The sequence below is a fragment of the Homo sapiens genome, chromosome 17 (genome assembly GCF_000001405.40).
Source record: "Homo sapiens chromosome 17, GRCh38.p14 Primary Assembly".
In the NCBI taxonomy this organism is placed as follows: domain Eukaryota; kingdom Metazoa; phylum Chordata; class Mammalia; order Primates; family Hominidae; genus Homo; species Homo sapiens.
In genome coordinates this window covers 79,803,218-79,821,650 of record NC_000017.11, presented here as the reverse complement: position 1 = coordinate 79,821,650, position 18,433 = coordinate 79,803,218, and the positions used below count along the sequence as shown (strand labels likewise).

The 18,433-nt window shown below is 59.1% G+C and overlaps 1 long non-coding RNA gene across 1 annotated transcript, besides 7 other annotated features; it reads right to left on the bottom strand.

Moving 5' to 3' along the window:
* Positions 1 to 9,171: 9,171 nt before the first annotated feature.
* Positions 9,172 to 13,054, bottom strand: LOC124904071 (uncharacterized). Its single transcript, XR_007065928.1, has 2 exons — positions 12,665 to 13,054; positions 9,172 to 9,272 (listed from the first exon to the last, which is right to left on the bottom strand). It is a non-coding gene; the product is annotated as an uncharacterized LOC124904071 (long non-coding RNA).
* Positions 9,900 to 10,079: a silencer, noted in NCBI's record as "silent region_9091". NCBI's record gives its function as "represses an Ori minimal core promoter by ATAC-STARR-seq in GM12878 lymphoblastoid cells {active_cell/tissue: GM12878}" and the evidence as "EXISTENCE:reporter gene assay evidence [ECO:0000049][PMID:35858748]".
* Positions 9,900 to 10,514: a biological region, named in NCBI's record as "H3K27ac-H3K4me1 hESC enhancer GRCh37_chr17:77784936-77785461".
* Positions 9,989 to 10,514: an enhancer, noted in NCBI's record as "H3K27ac-H3K4me1 hESC enhancer chr17:77784936-77785461 (GRCh37/hg19 assembly coordinates)". NCBI's record gives its function as "activates a minimal SCP1, AML or CMV promoter by ChIP-STARR-seq in naive H9 embryonic stem cells {active_cell/tissue: H9 hESC(naive)}" and the evidence as "EXISTENCE:reporter gene assay evidence [ECO:0000049][PMID:30033119]".
* Positions 11,180 to 11,299: a silencer, noted in NCBI's record as "silent region_9090". NCBI's record gives its function as "represses an Ori minimal core promoter by ATAC-STARR-seq in GM12878 lymphoblastoid cells {active_cell/tissue: GM12878}" and the evidence as "EXISTENCE:reporter gene assay evidence [ECO:0000049][PMID:35858748]".
* Positions 11,500 to 11,579: a silencer, noted in NCBI's record as "silent region_9089". NCBI's record gives its function as "represses an Ori minimal core promoter by ATAC-STARR-seq in GM12878 lymphoblastoid cells {active_cell/tissue: GM12878}" and the evidence as "EXISTENCE:reporter gene assay evidence [ECO:0000049][PMID:35858748]".
* Positions 12,389 to 12,518: an enhancer, noted in NCBI's record as "active region_12921". NCBI's record gives its function as "activates an Ori minimal core promoter by ATAC-STARR-seq in GM12878 lymphoblastoid cells {active_cell/tissue: GM12878}" and the evidence as "EXISTENCE:reporter gene assay evidence [ECO:0000049][PMID:35858748]".
* Positions 17,259 to 17,358: a silencer, noted in NCBI's record as "silent region_9088". NCBI's record gives its function as "represses an Ori minimal core promoter by ATAC-STARR-seq in GM12878 lymphoblastoid cells {active_cell/tissue: GM12878}" and the evidence as "EXISTENCE:reporter gene assay evidence [ECO:0000049][PMID:35858748]".

Here is an 18,433-nt window from a genome sequence, read left to right as displayed (position 1 = left end):
ATTGTTACCATTTAGTCCCCTAAATGCCACCTCTCAAGAGAAGCCGTCCCCAACCACCGGCCTAAAGTGGACTGCATCTCACTCCCCAGTTGTTCTTCTTAGAGCAGCTGTTCTTATCTGAAATTATTGATCTGTTGACTTGTCTCCTGCCCCCACTAGAATGTAAACACCGTGAGAGCAAGCCCTTGTCCCTCTTACCCATCACCCTGTTCTCAGCTCCTAGAACCGGTCAGCTGCTCCAGGGCTATTTGCTAAAGGAAGGGAGGAAGAAAGGAAAGGGAAAAATGATGTAGGAGGGAAGGAGAAGGAAGTGGAGAGAAGGGGAAGGGAGGAAAGAAGGAAGGGAAGTCCTTGAACCTCTCACCAGTAAAATGGAGGTGATCATTCCTGGGGCAGAAAGTTCACCTAGAGATGGTCTAAAGAGAGCCCTGGGTAGCGTGAGCCCAGAAGAAGCAGTAATCAAAAGCCAGCGTCCACATGATTGTCAAGTTCACCTCTGCCCTGGCCCAGGGCTGCTCACAGCCAGTACGTTCCTGCATGTGATCCAGTCATTAATCTGGATGCCCAGTCATTTTTATCTCATCTGGGGAAGGGTAGATTGGAAGGGGTGAATTATTTTGTCATGACGGGGCCAGCTCCTGGTGACAGCTTGGGTCCCAGAAACATTCAACCACACCTATAATGAGAAGATTCTAAAACTAAAGCACCCTCGGGGCCAGGCGAGGTGGCTCCTGCCTATAATCCTCACACTTCGGGAGGTCGAGGCGGGCAGATCCCCTGAGGTCAGGAGTTCGAGACCAGCCTGGACAACATGGTGAAACCCCATCTCTACTGAAATACAAAAATTATCCAGGCGTGGTGGTGCACAGCTGTGGTCCCAGCTACTCGGGAGGCTGAGGCACAAGAATCACTTGAACTCGGGAGGCGGAGGTTGCAGTGGGCTGAGATCGTGCCACTGCATTCCAGCCTGGGCAACAGTGAAACTCTGTCTCAAAAAGAAAGAAAGAAAGAAAAAAATCACCCTCGGCCCCCAGGTCACTCTCCTCATGCTGGGCTGGTGTTCCCCTCCTGACAGTGGACCATGCTAGAGAAGAACAACGCCTTCCTACTCTCTCACTTGCCTCCCTGTGATGGGAGAGAGGCAAAGTCAGTAGAAAATAGTCCACGTGGCCCGGCTGGCTGAGTAATGACTGAGCAAGTGAAGCCCTCTGGTAGTCTAGGTGAGTGTAGCTCACAATTTAGGTTGTCCCCTGGCACATATGACACTGTGGGAATGACAGACCCGCCCTAGGCCTTGCTAGAAGGCTGGCATTAGGCAGGACTGCAGCACCCAAGAAGTTTGCCAAGGGTGCTGAAGGCACTGTGGTCTCCCAAATGGGACTGGTCTCTTCCCCAATCCAATTAGGGCCCAAGGGTTCAATGAGGGCCTTTATGGAAACTGAAGCCCCAAAGAGACAGGAAGTAGCTCTCAAGATGGAGGTGGAAGCCTTCAGAACAGCATCCCTGGGAATTTGCATGCTGCTGTTGACGGCTGTCCAGCCTCCCTTACAGCATTGATGAAAGATCTAAATTCGTACCGTGCACTGCAGGGAACACACCACACAGGCCAATTTAGCTGGTCAAATCTTGGCAAGCCAGCAAGAAGGGACCATATTGACATTTAAAACATTTGAGGCGATCTCCTGGTTTGCTCCAGCCGCCTGCCGAGCTGGGCAGAGAAATGAAGTGTGCCTCCAACTCCAGACCAGCTGGGTCTCTTGCAGGCAAGCCATCTCTTTGTGTCATCCATGCCTTGTGAGGTGGGTGTGGGCATTGCCATGTTGAATGGACTGCTGACAAAGGAAGAGACCAACTTGTGACCTAGTGTCCCAAATTCCTGTCTTCAAGATAAGAGTGGGCAAACAGTCAGATCTATAAATAATGCTTTCCAGAGTGGCCCTTCCCGAAGCACCTCGCAGGCTCAGCAGGCTTGGGCCGCTTACCTCTCTCTGCTCCAAATGCAGAGCTGGCTAGCTCTCACCCGGAACCTTGGAAGCTCCCGATGGAAGAGCCCTCCTTTTCTTCTCTACCTCGCAGAGATGAGGGTCACAAAGCAAGGAACAAGGCGACTTTCCTCTGGAAGGCTCTCTTCCTTCTGCATGCCCTGCAGTGGCACAGCTGCCCAGAAATTAGCTTGGGTGGGAAAGATCCCTGGCTCTTGGGGGTTTTAAATCCCCAATGCACCCCCAGTTAAGGTGAAGAATGTGTCCAGAATTCCAGACCGAGGCCGTGTGCTCAGTAATGCCCCGAAGGGATCCTGGTCTTGTTGCCCTACTCTGTTGGCTTGTCTTACTCATCAGCTGGACCCAATGTCTCTCGCTGGTAGGGACTGTGTCTTTTTTACTATCACTCTCCAGCACAGCTTAGCACTGTTTCTGGAAGTCCTAGATAAATACTGATTGAATGAATGAGTTTTGTGTACAAGGTCTCAGTCACTGCTGCTGCCTAGAAAAGAGTAGAACTCCCAGGGGGCCATGACCACTCTTGGCTCTCTGGCCAGGCTCCTGGCACACGGCCCACTCAGGGACCATCCCAGGGTCCCCAGGGTCGGTGGTATTTCCCACCTGCCCATGGTAGTGGAAGGCAGAGGAAACATCTCTCTCTCTGTCTCTCTTTCTCTCTGCATGTTTAAACACTAGTTATTGGCTTTGGTCTCTGTCCTTTACTCTTCTCTGATTTATGAAATACAGGTTCCTTTTGTCATAGCTTGTGGGGTATTTTGTTCTGTCTCTCTGATGACTTTCATCATCAGCTTGAATTTAGGAGAGATGCCAGAAGCAACACCCACCCCTGGATATACACACCACCGACTAGTGTTCCCACGGCCTCTTAATGACAACAGCTCACAATTACAGATTGCTCACTGAGCCAGGTGCCGCGGAGGAACCCTTACATGCATTGTCTTTTCATCCGTGTGGTAAACTGAGGTTATAGATACTATTATTACCTCCATGAGGAAATGGGTGCCTTGGGAGGTCAAACACCTGGCCCAGGGTCACACAGCTACTGAGTGGTAGGGCCGGGGCTGAAATCCACGTGGCCTGGGCTTCTAACTGCAGTGCTGTGCAGCTGCCGTAGGGAGTCATCAGGTGCAAAGAGCGTGCTGGCCAGGATGCCTCCCCCATAGGAGCGGCAGCACAGCCACAGCCACCCCTGCATCAGAGGCATCAGCTGTGCACTGAGATAGGCCTATAAAGTGAACGGTTTCTTAGGACCATAGAGTCACCACAAGGAGCTTTGGAGAGACTCTGGGACACCACTTTCATTTTACAGGTGGACACCAGGAGACTGAGCCCCACGCTTTAGCTGATGAAGCATCTAAGACCACTAGGGAACAGCACTTCTTCCTGTGGCCTCCACTTGGGACCGATACTCAATGCAGACTGGGTGAGACAGTTCAGCTGGATATGGGATGGGATCTGCTCAGGCCCTGGTTCAGACCCAAACACCTTGGTTTGTTCCAGAACTGGGTCAACCCTGCAGGAGGCCTCCCAAGCTGAATATGGCTTCAGAGTAGCCTCCAAAACAGAGGCTGCTGGTAACCACATCTGCACTCCAGAACTGGCAACTCACCCGTCTTCACACCTGAGTGTCCTTGCAGCCTCCTCTGTCATGCAATCGCAAGCTGATGAGAGGATCTTCATTCACCATCTTCACTTCATGGTTGTTCTGTTTCTATAGCTATTCCATCAATACCCAAGTTCAAGACACAACCTCATGGGCTGAGCTGCTAGCCCTACACATCCTAAGCCAGAAGCCCAGGGTGGTTAGACAGCTTCCATCTGACCTTTCCTCCACCTCAGCCCCAGGTTAACCTCTGTGAATGTTCTCAGTGGCACCCAACACTTCCCCTTCTTGGCACTTCCCAAGGTTGTAAATTACATGTGTGTGGCATTTTGATCAGTCTCCTTTCGCCCCACGCTGTAAGCTCCACGAGGGCAGAAGCTAGGTCTGTTTTATTCATAAAAATATCCTAACTCTGAGCACTGGGCTGGACCAGCACAGAGAAGTAGTTAGGAGGCTAGATGGCTGGATGGCTGGATACTGAGAGACAGTGGAAAATTGTCTAGGATGCCAGATGGCCAGAATGGCACGGTTCTCTGAAGATGAGCAATGTCTCATTGTGCAGAACCGTGAGGCCAAAAGTGGCCGGGGTCACTGCTCTAATTCTTCCCCACCTTCCTGCTCCACCTGCAGTCTCTCCAGGCTCTGGAGGGCTCCCACTAAAACTGTCCCAGAGGGCTTTCCATCCCTTCAGTTACTATCAGCTCCCAGTGGCTGGTGACTGAGGCTAAGTTCTTTCTTCTTTCTGGTCGTTGGTATTTTGTCCCCTTCTTTCTTCCGCTGCTGCCCTAGGAAGGTGTCTGGGCTATCCCAGTAACTGGGGGAGGTTTTGTGAGCTGCTTCTAGTAAGGGATCTCGGCTATCCCAGTACCGAGGGAAGCTGCGTGCACAGGCAGAAGGAGCTCACTTTTACTCTCTGCCCAGAAACCCAATCCCAGGTTGATGTCTCTTGTCTTATCTTGAGATCTCCAAGAAGAAGAGGAGGTGGATGGGGCACAGTTGCCCACTCTCAGAGGCACTGGTTTCCCTTCTGCTGCTACCTCCAGGCTGGTGATGCATGGGACCTTCTCGGCACCTTTTTCATACCAGCCTGGGTGCAGGACCTAGAACAGTGCCAGGAATTGAGGAACATTTGGAGCATGAAATGAAGTTTTCCATAATCAGGATGGCAACGGGGACTGTGGGACATGACCACCGACATGGAAACCAAAGGGCCTCCTTCCCACCGCTTTTGTAATGTGGCACCTACCAAGCACCAGGCAGTTGGTGTTATTTCAGAGTTCTCACCATGGCCCCATAGTGCAGACAAGGAAATGGAGGCCTGGAGGAATGAAGGCCAGAACTGGGATTCAAACCCAGGCATGGGCCATACATCCATTTGGTTCCTTCCCTGAAAATTCGGCATCTGGGAGGTAGAGGACCTAGATGTCATTCAGGTCAACCTCCCACCTAAGCAGGAATTCCCTCCCAGAAGGGCTCCCCTGCCTATGGGGTGACCCCCAGCCCTCACTCTGCGGGGGCACGTTAAACGGGGCCTGTACCAGCTCTGGGCTCCTACTCAACTCCCCTCAACACCTGCAGAAAGGAGACCAGCTCTGCCCCGCATGGGGTAAAAAGCAGTGTCTTTTCTTGTTTTTCTCACTATCCTGGCACCCCCACCTGCTTTTAAAAACCTTTCAACCTGGCCTAGAAGGAATAAGCAAGCCATTAGACCCCTTGTGCGGAGGCAGATGCGCCTCCCCCCTGCCTCCCCACCGCAGTACCTCCTCCGCAAGGTTCCTCCGCAAGGTACCTCCGCAGTACCTTGTGCGGAGACAGTACCTCCTCCTCTCCGCAGGTTAACTACGGGGAAGAAGAACCGTAAAGGAGTAGGGATGGATCGGAAGCTCAAACCAGGAGGAGTGGGCTGGTCTGGGAGGACTCCCAGCACAGCACCGACACTGCCAGTGGGTGCTGACGGCTCCACTCTCCTCTCCCAAAAAAGCGAGATGGGGTGAGAAGGGGCGGGGTTCCGGGGGGGAGCGCACCCCGCGCACCTTGGCCCTGCTGACTCCGCAAAGCCGGCCCCACGTGTCCCAGCCGGGCACCAGGAGTCGCAGGGGCCGCCTGACCGAGCCCTGAGAGCGGCGCCCCTCCAGCGGCCGCGCCTGCCAGCCCTCCCGCGACCCTCGGCCGGGCCCCGCGCCACCGGCCATTTTCTCCCCTCGGCTCGGCGGCCGCCAAAGCGCAGACCCGCACAGGGGCCGAGACGGCAGCCCGGCGGCCACGCACGAGCCTGTGCCATCCCAGAGCCGTCACCACGTGGCGGGTGGCACCCGGGCACTGGACCCTGCCCTCCAGGTGGTTCTCATGGACAAGGCGGCTGGCTGGACGTGGGGGCGCAGTCGCTTTCTTGCAGCGACCAGGTGAATTGCCCTTGACGCCTTGGAAACCCGTGCGCGGGTGGCTGCGGGGGAACGTGCCTACCCGCCCACCGCAGTCGGGCAGCTGAAGCCGGGCGCCGATGCCAGCTGTTCCCCTCCTGTCCCGCCCGCGGTCCCCTCGAGGCCGGCCTGGGGCTCCCCGGGCGCTGTTCTGGGACCTCGAGCAGTCGCCCCTGCGGGCCTGGCCGCCTTTTCCGCGGCCCGCCATTCGATTCCGGGCTCAGCTCGGTGGCACAGCCCGGCTGTAAGCAACCCCAGGGCGGCACGGGGCCGGGTGCAGAAGGCGGCTCTGCGCCAGGTCGGCAGGGGACAGGCGACCCCGGCCCTGGAGCGGAGCATCCGACCGTCCGTTTCGCAATGTGGGGACACGGGGCGGGGAGCGGCCTGGAGGCCCCGGGCGCGCGGGCGGGAGCGTCGCTTGGACGCCGGCCTTCTGGGCAGAGCCATTCATCGCAGGGCGGCCGAGGCGGCGGCCGAGCCTGGCTCACCGCACCATGGAAGCTGGCCGGCCGCCGCCCGGGGAGGCTTGGGAAATGGGCGAAGTGGTCAGACTGGTTTCCGGAGCCGGGCTCGGAATCCACGCGGACTGGCAGACGTTGGTGGGGGAGGACCGAACCCCGAGGGTGGCGGTGGAGGGTCCTTTCCCGACCCTAGCAGGCGACCCCGCAGAGTGGAGGCGGGGGGACGGCAGGCATCCGGTCGGGGAAACCCCGTTTTCAGGTGTGGACCAGCAGACTGGCCGCTCCCCACCCCCATCCCCCAGGTGCCCGCGCCCCTCCCGCCGCCGCCGGGCTCCCCGAGGTTGGCCAAGTGTACTTGGAGGAGTGAGCTCCCGACCCACCAGTGAGCCTGGGCTTTGATCTCCGCATCTGAAAGAAATGGGGGTGGGGTGAAGAGGCAGCTCTGCCACAAGCCTTAGGAATGGCCTTACCCCATCACGTCCCCCTCCCAATCTCAGTTTCCTCATCTCCCACTGTCTCTTCCGGCCGGACGCTCCTGGGAGTCTAGGTAGACTGGGGCACGAGGACTCCTAGGGTCGGTCTCAGGAGGAGGAAGGCGGCAGAGCTGGTGGCCACGTGCTCCCCTGGGGGTCGAGCTGTCCCCAGGAAATACGATCGGTTGTTGTGGACAGGACCTTGGATGCTCCCATCCCAATGCCAGGCCTGAGGACTTGGAGACAGGAAAATGGAATCATTGGGGAGCAAATTTCCTATCAAGGAGTGGCATGCTTGATAACATAGGCTGCTAGGCACCGGGTTCTCGGTGTTTCTGGGCTGAGGAAGAGGTGCCTCACTCCCCACACAGCAGCCCAGGGCCTAGGTCCCGAGTTCCTGTGTAGGAGCGTCGAGGGAAAGGACCGAGAGGGCTGGGGGATTGAGGCGATAGTGCTCCCATCTGAGAGAATGGAGTGCCCAATTTTCCCGGTTTCAGCAGCTGCTGGGCGGGGGGGCGGGGGGGGGTCTCGAGAGCCGCCCACGCTGCCGTCTTTCTTGCGGTTCTTCCGTGGGAAAATTGGCGCGTGGGGCTGGCCCTAGGAGGGGGCGATGGGGGCTCTAGGGCTAGTGACCCCCCCAACCCCATCAGAAGAGAGAAGGAACCCAGAGCTAGAAAAAGTCCCCAGCCCTCATCTGTGCCGCGCCTGTGGGAACCCCTACTCCTTCCAGCAACCAGGGTGGGCTGGTGCTGGGGCTTGGGCGCGGGTCCAGTCTGGCGATCGGGAGTGGAAGGGGGGGTCCCGGCCGGCCCTCTGGGGCTGGGTGAGTGGTCGCCGCATGCAGAGCCCCCCTTGGGGCGAGGGGGGGCGCGCCGGCCCCCGGGAGGGGCGGGGCGAGGGTGCGGGCCTCGGGGGCCCCCAGGCCGCGCAGCCCGGGTGGGCTGCAGGGGCCCCCGCCGGCCCGGGGCGGGCTTTGTCTGCGGCAGCTCCGCTTTGGGAAGGCGCCAGCCGGGGTACAAGATGGCGGGGAAAGGGTGGGATCGCAGGCGCTCGCCACGCGGAGCGGCCCCGCTCTGCCTGCAATGCAGCAGGGGGAGGGGCGGGGGCACCGGCGACAGCGCCCGCCCGCCCCCCTCCGGCCGCCGGGCGCCCCCCCGCCGGTGACCCCGCGCCCGCCGCCCCCGCCGCCTCTGTCTGGCGGCTGCAGCCTCCGCCTCACTCCGCAGAGCCCCGGCCGCGGCAGCTGCAGAAAATGGCTGCCAAAGCGGCGCCAGTCGCCACGCTGCCCCGGCGGGGGCGGGCGCCGCAGCCCCCAGCCCCGCTCTCGGTGCCCGCCCGGGGACGCTCGGCCGGGCGCAGGGACCCTCCCGGGGGAGCGGGCGGGGGCGGCCGCGGGGCGAGCGGGGGAGGGGCGGTTACCTGCGGGCAGAGGGGGCACGGGGTGGGGGCGGCCGGGGACTGCGCAGGAAGGGCGCGCTCGGTCTGTCCCCACCCCCACCCCGGTGCCCGGTGCCCTCGCGAGGTCGCGGCGCTCCGGTGGGGAAATGTTAATGGGGTGTTGACCTCGGTGACCGTGTGTCGCTCCCACCCATTTAGAAATCAGTCTCCCCCACACCCTCTGGCGTTGGAGCTGGGCGGGCTAGCCCCGATGCTCCCCGCAGAAAAATTAAAAAAATAACAAATAACAAAGCTGTGTGCGTGCTGACTACAGACGAGCCAAGCCCGGAACTCCGCGGAGAAGATCCGGGTGGATCCTCGGGCGCCATAAACCGCAGCCACCACCGTAGCTCAGCAGGTGCCGAGCGCCCACCCTCCTCTCGGCGGGGAGCCGCTCTGCGACCCCCTCCTCGGCCCCGCCGAGAGCCATCCGCGCCGAAGAGGCGCCGGCGGCCACCCCGCCGCTCCCCAGCACCCGGGCCCGAGCACCCTTCTCCGGGCGCCAAGGGGAGCTCAGGGTGAACTGGACACCCGGCCTGGGGCATGGGCTCAGGGCAGGGCCCGGGGGCGCACCAGGGCAGGGGACGAAATCGCCCCAGGAGCTCCAGGACTGAGACTGCTGAGAAATAAACGAAAAGTGCGCACAGAGGACTGGTGGGTGGGGTTGGACTCCGGAGTTGGGACCCCTTGGCACAGCCGCGTGGGTTCGTACCCCCACTTCCCCAACCCAAAGGAACCCAGGCCCCAGCGGGCCGGGCCGGCCGGGGAGAGGTGTGCCTGTAGACTTGGTGCTTTATTTTTCCCTTTCTGCAAGTTTCTCTCTCATCCCTCTCCGCCAGCTGCGTTCTCGACTCTTCTGATTTCACCACCAGCGCCTGGAAAATTCAAATTCAGTGTATAAGAGGGCAGGGGCCAGGGACCAGGAGCCAACAGGTCAGGAAAAGGGGTTTCCAGATTCGGGAGCGCTTCTGCTCCTGGGGTTTAAGAACAGAGAAGAAAAGGCGCATTTGAGACACGTCCCTGTGCAGAGAGAAGTCGGGGGACATCCGGGGGTCCGCATTCCCCCTCCCCCACCTGGGCGGAGGAATCCATGTACCTAAGCACGCAGAAACTTGAAGATGGGGATCTATTATAAATGACCTGGCTAAATGGGCGTGGGGAGAGCGGGTCAGGGATGGTGTACTTCGGGGGCACCAAGAGGCAGCACCCGGGTATCCATGGATTTTCCAGGACCTGAAGAGGTCTCAATGGCAGAGGTCCGGCGCTGGGCGAAAACCCAGGCAAACTCTCCGCCCCAAGGGCACTCCCCAGTCCCTAGTCTGGAGGGAAACAGCTTTCTTCTGGGCAAAACACCGCGGCAGCGAATCTCAGCTAAGGTCAGGGAGGGATACATGCTGGCACCAAGGGCTGCCGCCGCCGCAGCGCTTCCTTCCGCAGAAACAGCAAGGAGGAGGCGGCCGAAGCTAACTCGATCCAGCAGGCAGCGCCCTCCCCAATCTAGCACCCTCGTTCCCTGGCAGTGCCCGCTTCCACCACCTTCCTCTGGTAGGGACCAGGTTAGGGAATTTGAGATTTTGAAGAGAAGGAGGACGAGGGTAAGGGAGGATGCCCAAGACGGGCGGAGGTCGCGCTGGTCATCGCGCCCTGGTCCCCATCCCCCACTCTAGCTGGCCCTCCCACGCGACCCCCACCTGCGCGGTGTTCCAGGCGCAGGCTGCCCAGCAGGGGGCATCGCCGGGCGCCTCCCGCAGGCGGCAGCCCTAGAGGCGAGCTCGGTCACAGGCACAGTCCCTAAGGGCACTAGGGTGTCCATTGTCTTAGCGGTTCCCTTTGGGTGAACTCAGGACAGGAGTGGGTCCCCGAGAGGATGGCTCTGGCCCCCACGGCGTCGCCAGAACACGCGCGCCGGAACCGTGACAGCCCCAGAGGGGTCAGCCGGACACCTGTGCATGCGTGCGCGTGCGCGCGCCTCGGCGGGTTGGGGAGGGGGCGAGGGGCGCCCCCGAATCCGCAGTGCCCTTTCTGCCTGAGTTTGAGGCGATCGAGAGCCTTATCCCCAGAGGAATAGCTACGCCTTCTCTCTTCGCCCGCTCCCATCCCGCGGGTGGGCCCGGCGCTGGGCACCTGACCAACAACCCGCAGCCACCGCTCCACTGCATTCTGCCTGGAAACCCCAGAGTGGTTCTCCTAGTGCATTTTTCTCCCCGCACGCAGGGGTTTTTTTTTCCTCAACAATTGGCAGGTTTTTAAAGTAACCTTTAAATGAGACATCGATTTACCATTATTATGATTGCATTCAGAAATCCAGCCCGAAGGGACACCCTGGGAGATGCTAATTTGGAGGTATCTAGGGCTGTTTATGATTTAGCACTTCCCTAGCCTCGGAAGCACATTTCTTTTGCAGCTAATTGCTCTGATTATCTAGGGGGGAGGTGGCGGAGGGGGGTGGGGGGGGGCGGTCTCGGACTGTTCCCAGAGCCCCGTGCGTGCACGCAGTGAACCTGATGCTGCAGCGGCTACTGCGGCAGCGACACACTCTCACACACACACACACACACGCACACACACACACACGCACAGACACACACGCACACAAGCTCCCCTCCCGCATCCGGGCCTTCCCGCTCCTCCGCCGTTGCTCGCCGGGTTTGGGGAGGGGGTGCGTGGGGTGGGAGTGGGAGCGTGCGCGGAGCGGGAGAGGACAGGCCAAGCGGCCACGGGAGAAGAATGACAACGAGGCAAAGGGAGGAGGAAGGCCGCGGGAAGAAAAATTGGGGAGAGGGTACAGGCAAAAAGGGGGGTTAAGCAACGAAGGGGGTGCGGAGGCGAGGAGCGGAGATACCCGGGGAGAAAGAAAGGGAGGGGGCGGGGAGCGGGCGGGGGCGGCTGGCTGGTTTCCACTCGTGAGAGCCGGTTGCCGAGAGACGCGCGGGCCAATGAGCGCGCACCAGCTCAGCCCGGCGCCCGCCGCGTGCCCTTATATGGTGCGGCCGCTCGGCGGGCGCTCGCGCACATCGCCATATAAGGGCAGGAACCTAAATACAGGCTATACCTTGTTCTCCGCTCGCCCGGCCGCGGCCCCGGCGATCGATGAGCGCGCCGCCGAGCGGGCTGCGGCGCGCGGGCCCCGGGAGCCGGCGGGGAGGGGGCCGCGGCGGCCGTTCAGCCCGGGCCAGATGTGGCCGGCGCAATGGCTGCCCGGCCAGCTGCAGCGCTCGGAAGGTGCCACTCGCCGCCGCCGCGCTCCCCATCCTTTCCCTCTCCCCCTGCCCCCCCATTTGGAGGTGCAAATGCAGATGAACCGGGATTGAAATCTAATTGCTTTTGTTTAAAAAAATGTGAGCCAGTCCGTGTTGAGTTTGAGCAGACGCCTGGGATCCCGGCAAACCAAGCAGAACGCCTGGGGGAGAGAAGGGGAAAAGCCCTAGGGTCTGGGCGGGGGGCGGGGGCCGGGGGGAGGCGCCGGTAGAGTGCTGCGTGGAGCCTCAGCGCCAGGAGGCCGGGAACAGTGGCCACGAGGACCCACTGGCTCTGTGCCCTGGAGGCGCGGGCGGCCTGGAGCCAGCCAGGTGGTGGAAGGGAGAGGTGAGAGGTGTCGCTGTCACACCTTTCTTCTCTGTCGCTGTGCCAGCCCTGCTCCTGACGGCAGGCTGCAAGAGGCTGGGGGGATAGGGGACAGGCCCCCCAGCTCGGAAGATTGAAGCCATCAGGGCCGGATCTGGGCAAGGAAGGAGTCATCTCAGGGATTCTCTGCCAGAGGGGCGGTGGGTCCTGGGTGAAGCCTCCTGAGATCCTGGTCTCCTTGGTCAGATTGACGCCTGCCTGTGCTGGTGACCTCAGTGTCCGTCTCGAACAGGACGCCCCACTTGCTTTCCCTCTCCCCACTTCTGGCTGGTCTGTTTGCCCACGGAAGAGGAGTCTGAGCTGCCCCTGCAAGGGTCTGGACGGTGAAAGTGGCCCCAGGATGTCCAGGGAGTGTGGAGGGGCCTCTCTGGCTAGGACACGTGGTGCACTGACCCAGTTCTCTCACGCAGCCTGGTGGCAAGGCGACTTGGTGCAGGTGTATGCTGTTGTAGACCTAGTGGTAGCCCGCCTAGCACCCCCACCAGGTGCACAGTGAGGCCTTTACCTCCCACGGGTGGCAGAAGGCAGGAGAGACCCCCGACACCCACAGGCCCCAAGGCCTCACCGGTGGATGGCACGGAAGAAGCTTATGCACCTGGAGCAGTGGCCCCTAATATGGAGAGGACTGTCCCTCAGCACATACCCATCGCCCCTCAGGTGTCCTTCTCCGCGCAGTTTAGACTGTGATTGTGTCAACCTTGCCTCGGCTCGCCAGTGCCTGGAGATGCTGACAAGAGAGCCTCTTTCTCCAAGGAGGCCATTTCCAGTAGCATGATGCCACCTATAGAATGTACCTGGAATTAGTCTGAGCTGCAGCCTTGCTGCCAGCAGTGTGGGGCTGGAGGGAGGAGCACACCTTAGATTGTTCCTCGCCAGAGTTGAGCCTGGAATGGTAGCCTAGTCACACAGGCCTTCCCCTGGAGTCCTCCTCTTGCCACCCTGTGTCTCCTAGTAGGTATTTGGTAGCTCTGGGCCTGGCATCATTGGGAAAATGGTGGCCAGTACCCGGTGTATCTGGGACAGGAATCTGCCACTCCTACTAGGAGTCCCTAGCTTCTTGGGCAGGCACAAACTCCAGGGTTCTGTGTACTGCCCTGGGCATGTGCATCAGTGGTCAGCACTCAACAGTCAACAAGTATTTCCAAAAGGTTCAGGAAAACCCTCATATGCCTACACGAATGATCTCGAGGTGTCGAACATGGAGACCAGACTGGCGGCCCCAAGGCTGCCTGCTCCGAATGCTGGTTTTGCAGGGAGAAAGAGAGAGACTTGTCCAAGGTAACCCAGTTAGCCAGGGGCAGAGCAAGCCTGGATTTCATTCCCAATCCACTGTTTTATGCATTATGCAGGTGCATCTCAGCAGCAGCCCAGGCATGGGCTTCTGTGTCAATGTGGCTTGTCAATCCTGGAACCCAGGAGCCCTAGCATGGGGACTTGAAACTGACTACCATTGATCTCAGCCAGTCCTACTCCCTGAGCAGCTGGACAGAGGCTGGAAAAGCCAGTGGGTCTCTGGTCTCAGGCTGCTAAGCTCCTGGTCCCGCCAAAGGCTGGGATTGGCCATAGCCAGTGACATTGCCACAGGCTGCTCTTCATGCCAAGCTCCAAACCCTAGCGCAGCACAGCCATGCCCGGCTCCCCTAGGTGCCTGGTTCCACACCAGCAAGAGCTACCCTGAAGCTTCCCCTTAGGCTCCTCAACTCTTGGGTGACAGATTTAGGTTGAGCTCTGTCCTGTGACTTAACTTGGTCATTAACAAGTTACTTAACCCTCTGAGCCTGTGTCTTCATCTTTAAATGGAGCCTCCCTCTAAGGGTTGTGATGAGGAATAGAAGCAGAGTCCCGTAAACCTCCAGCACAAAGCCTGGCTCAGAGCAGCCCTCACTCAGCGGATGGTGGCTACATCTGTCCACTCCCAGCACTCTGGTACACCCTCTTGTGCCAGGCTAGATACCAATGGGATACAAACACCATAACACATCATGTCCATTTGAGCCACTGTAGAAACAGGTATTCCCAGCACTCCCTCGCAGATGCCGTGATGAGTGGTTGGTGGGTATCAGATCCAACCCCCTTCCTGCCCTTGCACACTTTCTTCCAGTCCTGCCTAGCTCCACCCTCTGCCCTGCCCTGCCCCCTGTGACAATCCAGGGCCCTGCAACCCTTCACACACCACTTCCCAGGGCATCCTTGGAACTGCCATGTAGACAGCCCCAGAAACTTTCCTTCCAGGGAAGGGGATGCGTGAACCCACAGAAGCTGCGGAAGAAACCGAGCCTAGGACTCCTTTCTCATCTTGGAAAAACAGCAAGTGTGTGTGTGTGTGTGTGTGTGTGTGTGTGTGTAGTATGGAGTCCTGCTTTCCTGGGATCCTGTGGGTCCATTACAGATGCCTGTCATAGCAACAAAATGGGAAAGAACTGGCCCATTCTGCAGGTGGGACCACTGATTTCCAGGAGAGAGACCTGATCTTGTGGTGCAAGCACGTGAGGCACTTCCCCAGATTCCACTGGCCACTAGTCCCACGATTTGAAGGGACGGGCAGTCAGTGTTGAGAGAGGCAGCTGGTGAGGCACCTGGGTTAGACTGCAGGTGCCGAAGGACCCAACAGGAGCTGTGGGAGAAAGTGACTCAGTCTTGCCCTGTCTTGCCGTGGCAAATCATCTCCCCCAACATCCACTCCTGTCTTTCTCCCCTTTTCTTTCCCTACACTCGATGCCCTCACTCTGGGAACGACATCTCTGTGATCTCTGCCAGCGATGGCCCCACCTGCTCCTGAAGACCCTCGACTCCCCCATGCCCACCTGTGCCCACCTTCTTCATTTCGGCTGGACACCACTGCACACCAGACTTGTGCAAAGTGAGGGTCAGACTTGGGGATATGCTCTTAGATGTTCCCGACTCCTGAGAGGGACCTGTACCCACCCCGCTGTCCCTCACTGGGGAGCTGTAAGACCACTCCAAGGCTGAAGCCCAGTGTCCTGCACCCCTATCCAGTGGACACCCTTCCCATTGCTCAGGCCCTTCCAGGCTGAATGGCGCCCCCCTCAAGAGGAGAGGTCCAACCCCTCCCCTCAGCTTGGGACAGAGTGGGGGTGGGGTAGAGAGGACAGTTCCCCAAGGGACTGCCCACCCCCATCCCAGAGCTCGTATAATGCCTGGAGCAGGCTGGAGAATGAGGTCCGCCAGAGATCCTGTCTTGCAGACCTAAGAAAAGGTTTCAGGGAACAGAAGAATTGGTAACCCCTGCAGGCCTCCCTGCTGGCCACTTCCTCTTCTATTCATCCCAGGTCCTCCCTACTCTCCAAAAGGGAGAAACTGAGGGAGAAACCTGGGACTGAATGGAAGGCCTGGAATCCCAACTCCCCCTGAGGTTTTTGGCTGGGAAAATACCTGGGGACAGCTGGAGTCTTCGGGTATCCTGGGGCGCCCCTCCCCCAGAGCGCCCCCTTCCCCTAGGGAAACTTTGATCTCTCTCTCGCTCTGTCTCTCTCTCTCTCTCTCTCTCTCTCTCTCTCTCTCTCTCTCACACACACACACACACACACAGGCACACACACACACGAACACACACACATTGGAAAGGAGATGATACCTCTAAAGTCAGGCTGCACCGTCGGGGTGGTGTAAAAAAGTTAGAGACTGCCTCAAAAGGGCAGTGGGAATGACCGCAAAGGGAAGAGGAAGGAGATAAAATGAGGCCTATCCCTCCCAACCCAGCAGCCCGGCTCTCCAGAGACACTCCCTTTTCCAGGCCCTACAGTCCCTTGGCACCCTCCTCCCTTCCCACCAATACAGCATCTGAAGGTGTCACTGAGATCTTCCACCCATTTTTCCTCCCCCTACCCATCTCACCCACAGGTTGCTCTACTCACAGCAATTCCTTCCTAGGCTTCCTCCTGTAACCCTGAACTATTTAAAAGCTCATTTTAAAAAAGAACTTAAGACTGATACCAAACTTCTTAGTTGCAAGCCTGAACTGTGGGCACCTTCTCATTAAACGTAAAACCTGCATCTTTTCCAAGAGAGAGGACGTTCTTGTCCGTAGAGGGGTGACGGGAGGTGCTGCAGAGCCCTTTTGAGCTCCTCTCACTCTCTGCTCTGTGACTGCAAAAGTGAGAATGGTGCCCTCGGAGGAAACACGTTTTACTGCAAAAATTGTCTGGAGCCCGGAATTGCCCTGAAAGTGGCCCTGCAATTACAATTCTGGTCCAAATTCATTTACCATATTTATTTGTGGATTTTCTCCTCCCACTCCTCTGCGTATTAAAAAAGATCAAGAAGATTTTTTAATGTATAAAAGATGTTTCCTCCACTTAAGGCACCCCACCGCCACCCACGCACCCCTTTATTCTGCTTTGAATTCAACGACTTCTGCTGTCTCGGTGGCTGAGGCGACCATCCCAGAGCAAGGAAGTGCTCTGTCTTGATCTGTTCAAAGGGTGCGGAACTGAGTCCCTGGAAGGTCCGGACCCAGACCCCGGAGCTGGTTTGCAGGACACCCCTTTAATCCTCAGTAGGCTGCCAATCTACCCTCTCCACACCCCAACACATTGAACATCTGCCCCCAATACCCCAGCCACAGTCCATGTCTCTGCCTCGAGGGCCACCGAACCTCCCAGGATGGATGGGGCGATGGTGGGGGTATCTGCTGGGACTTCCACGGTGGCTTACCCCTTCATCCGTTTGGCCAAAAAGTAAGCTCTGAGGTTGAAACTAGAAAAATACAGAAACTCAGCGTGAACATCACATTTCCACTGCTTTAAACTTTCTCTCTCCTTGGTCCTGGTCAGGAACCCTACACCCTCTGCTAAACCGGCTTTTCTTGCCATAAGCCTCCTCTGTTTTTAGGATCTCAAGGACTAGCTGAAGAAAATTAATTTTGCCTCTGATTGCTGTGTTATTCTAGATAAGCCATTATTATGCAAATGAGGGAGTGCGGCTCTCAGGATGAATAAGACGGTGCCGGTAGCGGCGCGGGACAGCCCCAGATGTTTGCATAATTACTTCTGCCCCAACTTCGAGAGTGCAAAATGTCAAGGGAGGAAGTTGTGCGGGTAAATACGGTACCATGTTCCCTGAATTTGATTTCCTACAGAAGGGCGGGGAAACCGATCGGAGGCTTCAGCTGCAGAGAGAAAAGGCATCACGGCTCCCGGGCCGACGGTGTCCCGGCCGAGTGGCCGTCTGCGTCCGCCCCCACGATGCTGAGCCACCCCTCGGCCCAGGGCGGCCGGAGAGAGCAAGGTCCCGCCCGGGTAGCGAGGCGCTTGCGCGGGCACAGAGCAGCAGCTTGGCCCCACGCTTTCCGGCAGCCCCGGAACCGGCAACACGGCTTCTGGGCGTGCGCGGAGCCGCCGCGCTCTGGCCGCGGAGCCTCGACGCCAGCCGAGCCCCTTCGTGTCCCAGACGGCGCCTCCTCCCGGGGCAACGGCTAGGGGTGCACCGAGGAAGCCCTGTACCGGGGCTGCGAGGAAAGGCGTCGACCACAGTGGAGGACGCCGAGGCTTCGCCCAGAACCTCGCCGGCACCGTCGCGTTTTCTCGGTCAGCTCCCAAACGTCTGCCCTCGGGTTTGCCGCCCGCGTGGCCCACTCTTGCGGAGGGTAGGCGGCCCGGCAGACGCCTCTGTTCCCCGAGGTTCTGCGAGAGGCCCCAGACTGGCCTCCGCAGCTTGTGCCTTCTCGAATGACCCGGCAGGCCCTGCACTTAGGATTTTCTGATCTCTAAAAGGGGAAGCTGGACTGTGGCTCTTGGCGTTAACAATCTCGCAAGGGAACGGCACCGGCTGAGAGACTCCCACTTTGGAACTGACTTGAGGTCCCGACGTCCCAGCAAAAAAGTCACTTCAATTCCTTCTGCATGGGGGTGGGGTAGGAAATGAAAAAACGGGAAGCGCCAGGCGGAGTCCGAGGAGTCCCTGGAGCTTCCCTGGGACTCTGGAGAGCCGCGTGTGGTCCAGGAGGAGGCGGGAGGACTGTGGCACCCAGCATCGCTGGAGGCAGAAGTGCCCACCCTGGCGGAGCTCCGGCTCAAGGGAGCCCAGGAGGTCCAGCTGCCTCTCTGCGCCCAGGCTCTGGTGCCACCATTCCTTGACTCGCCCAGCCTCTCCCCGTGTTTTCCCGTGGGAGGGTTGGTGCTCCCCGCCTTTCTCATGAGCTGGGTCACGGGAGGAGGGGCGCTCATCAACCGTGGCTCGTAACCGCCAGGCCAAGCCTGTCAGTGCAGGCAGAATCTGGGGTCAAACTCTCCACTCGGGGTATCTGGAACCACAGGCTGCTCACGCGTTGAGCCAGGGCCCGGGGTGATGCGAGAACAGAGTCAGCGCGCCCCGGGCATCTCCAGGCAGGGGTTGGGGCTGGAGGTTTCTGATAACGTCCTGCTCTCGGACGGGACTCCAAGGCCTTGATCTC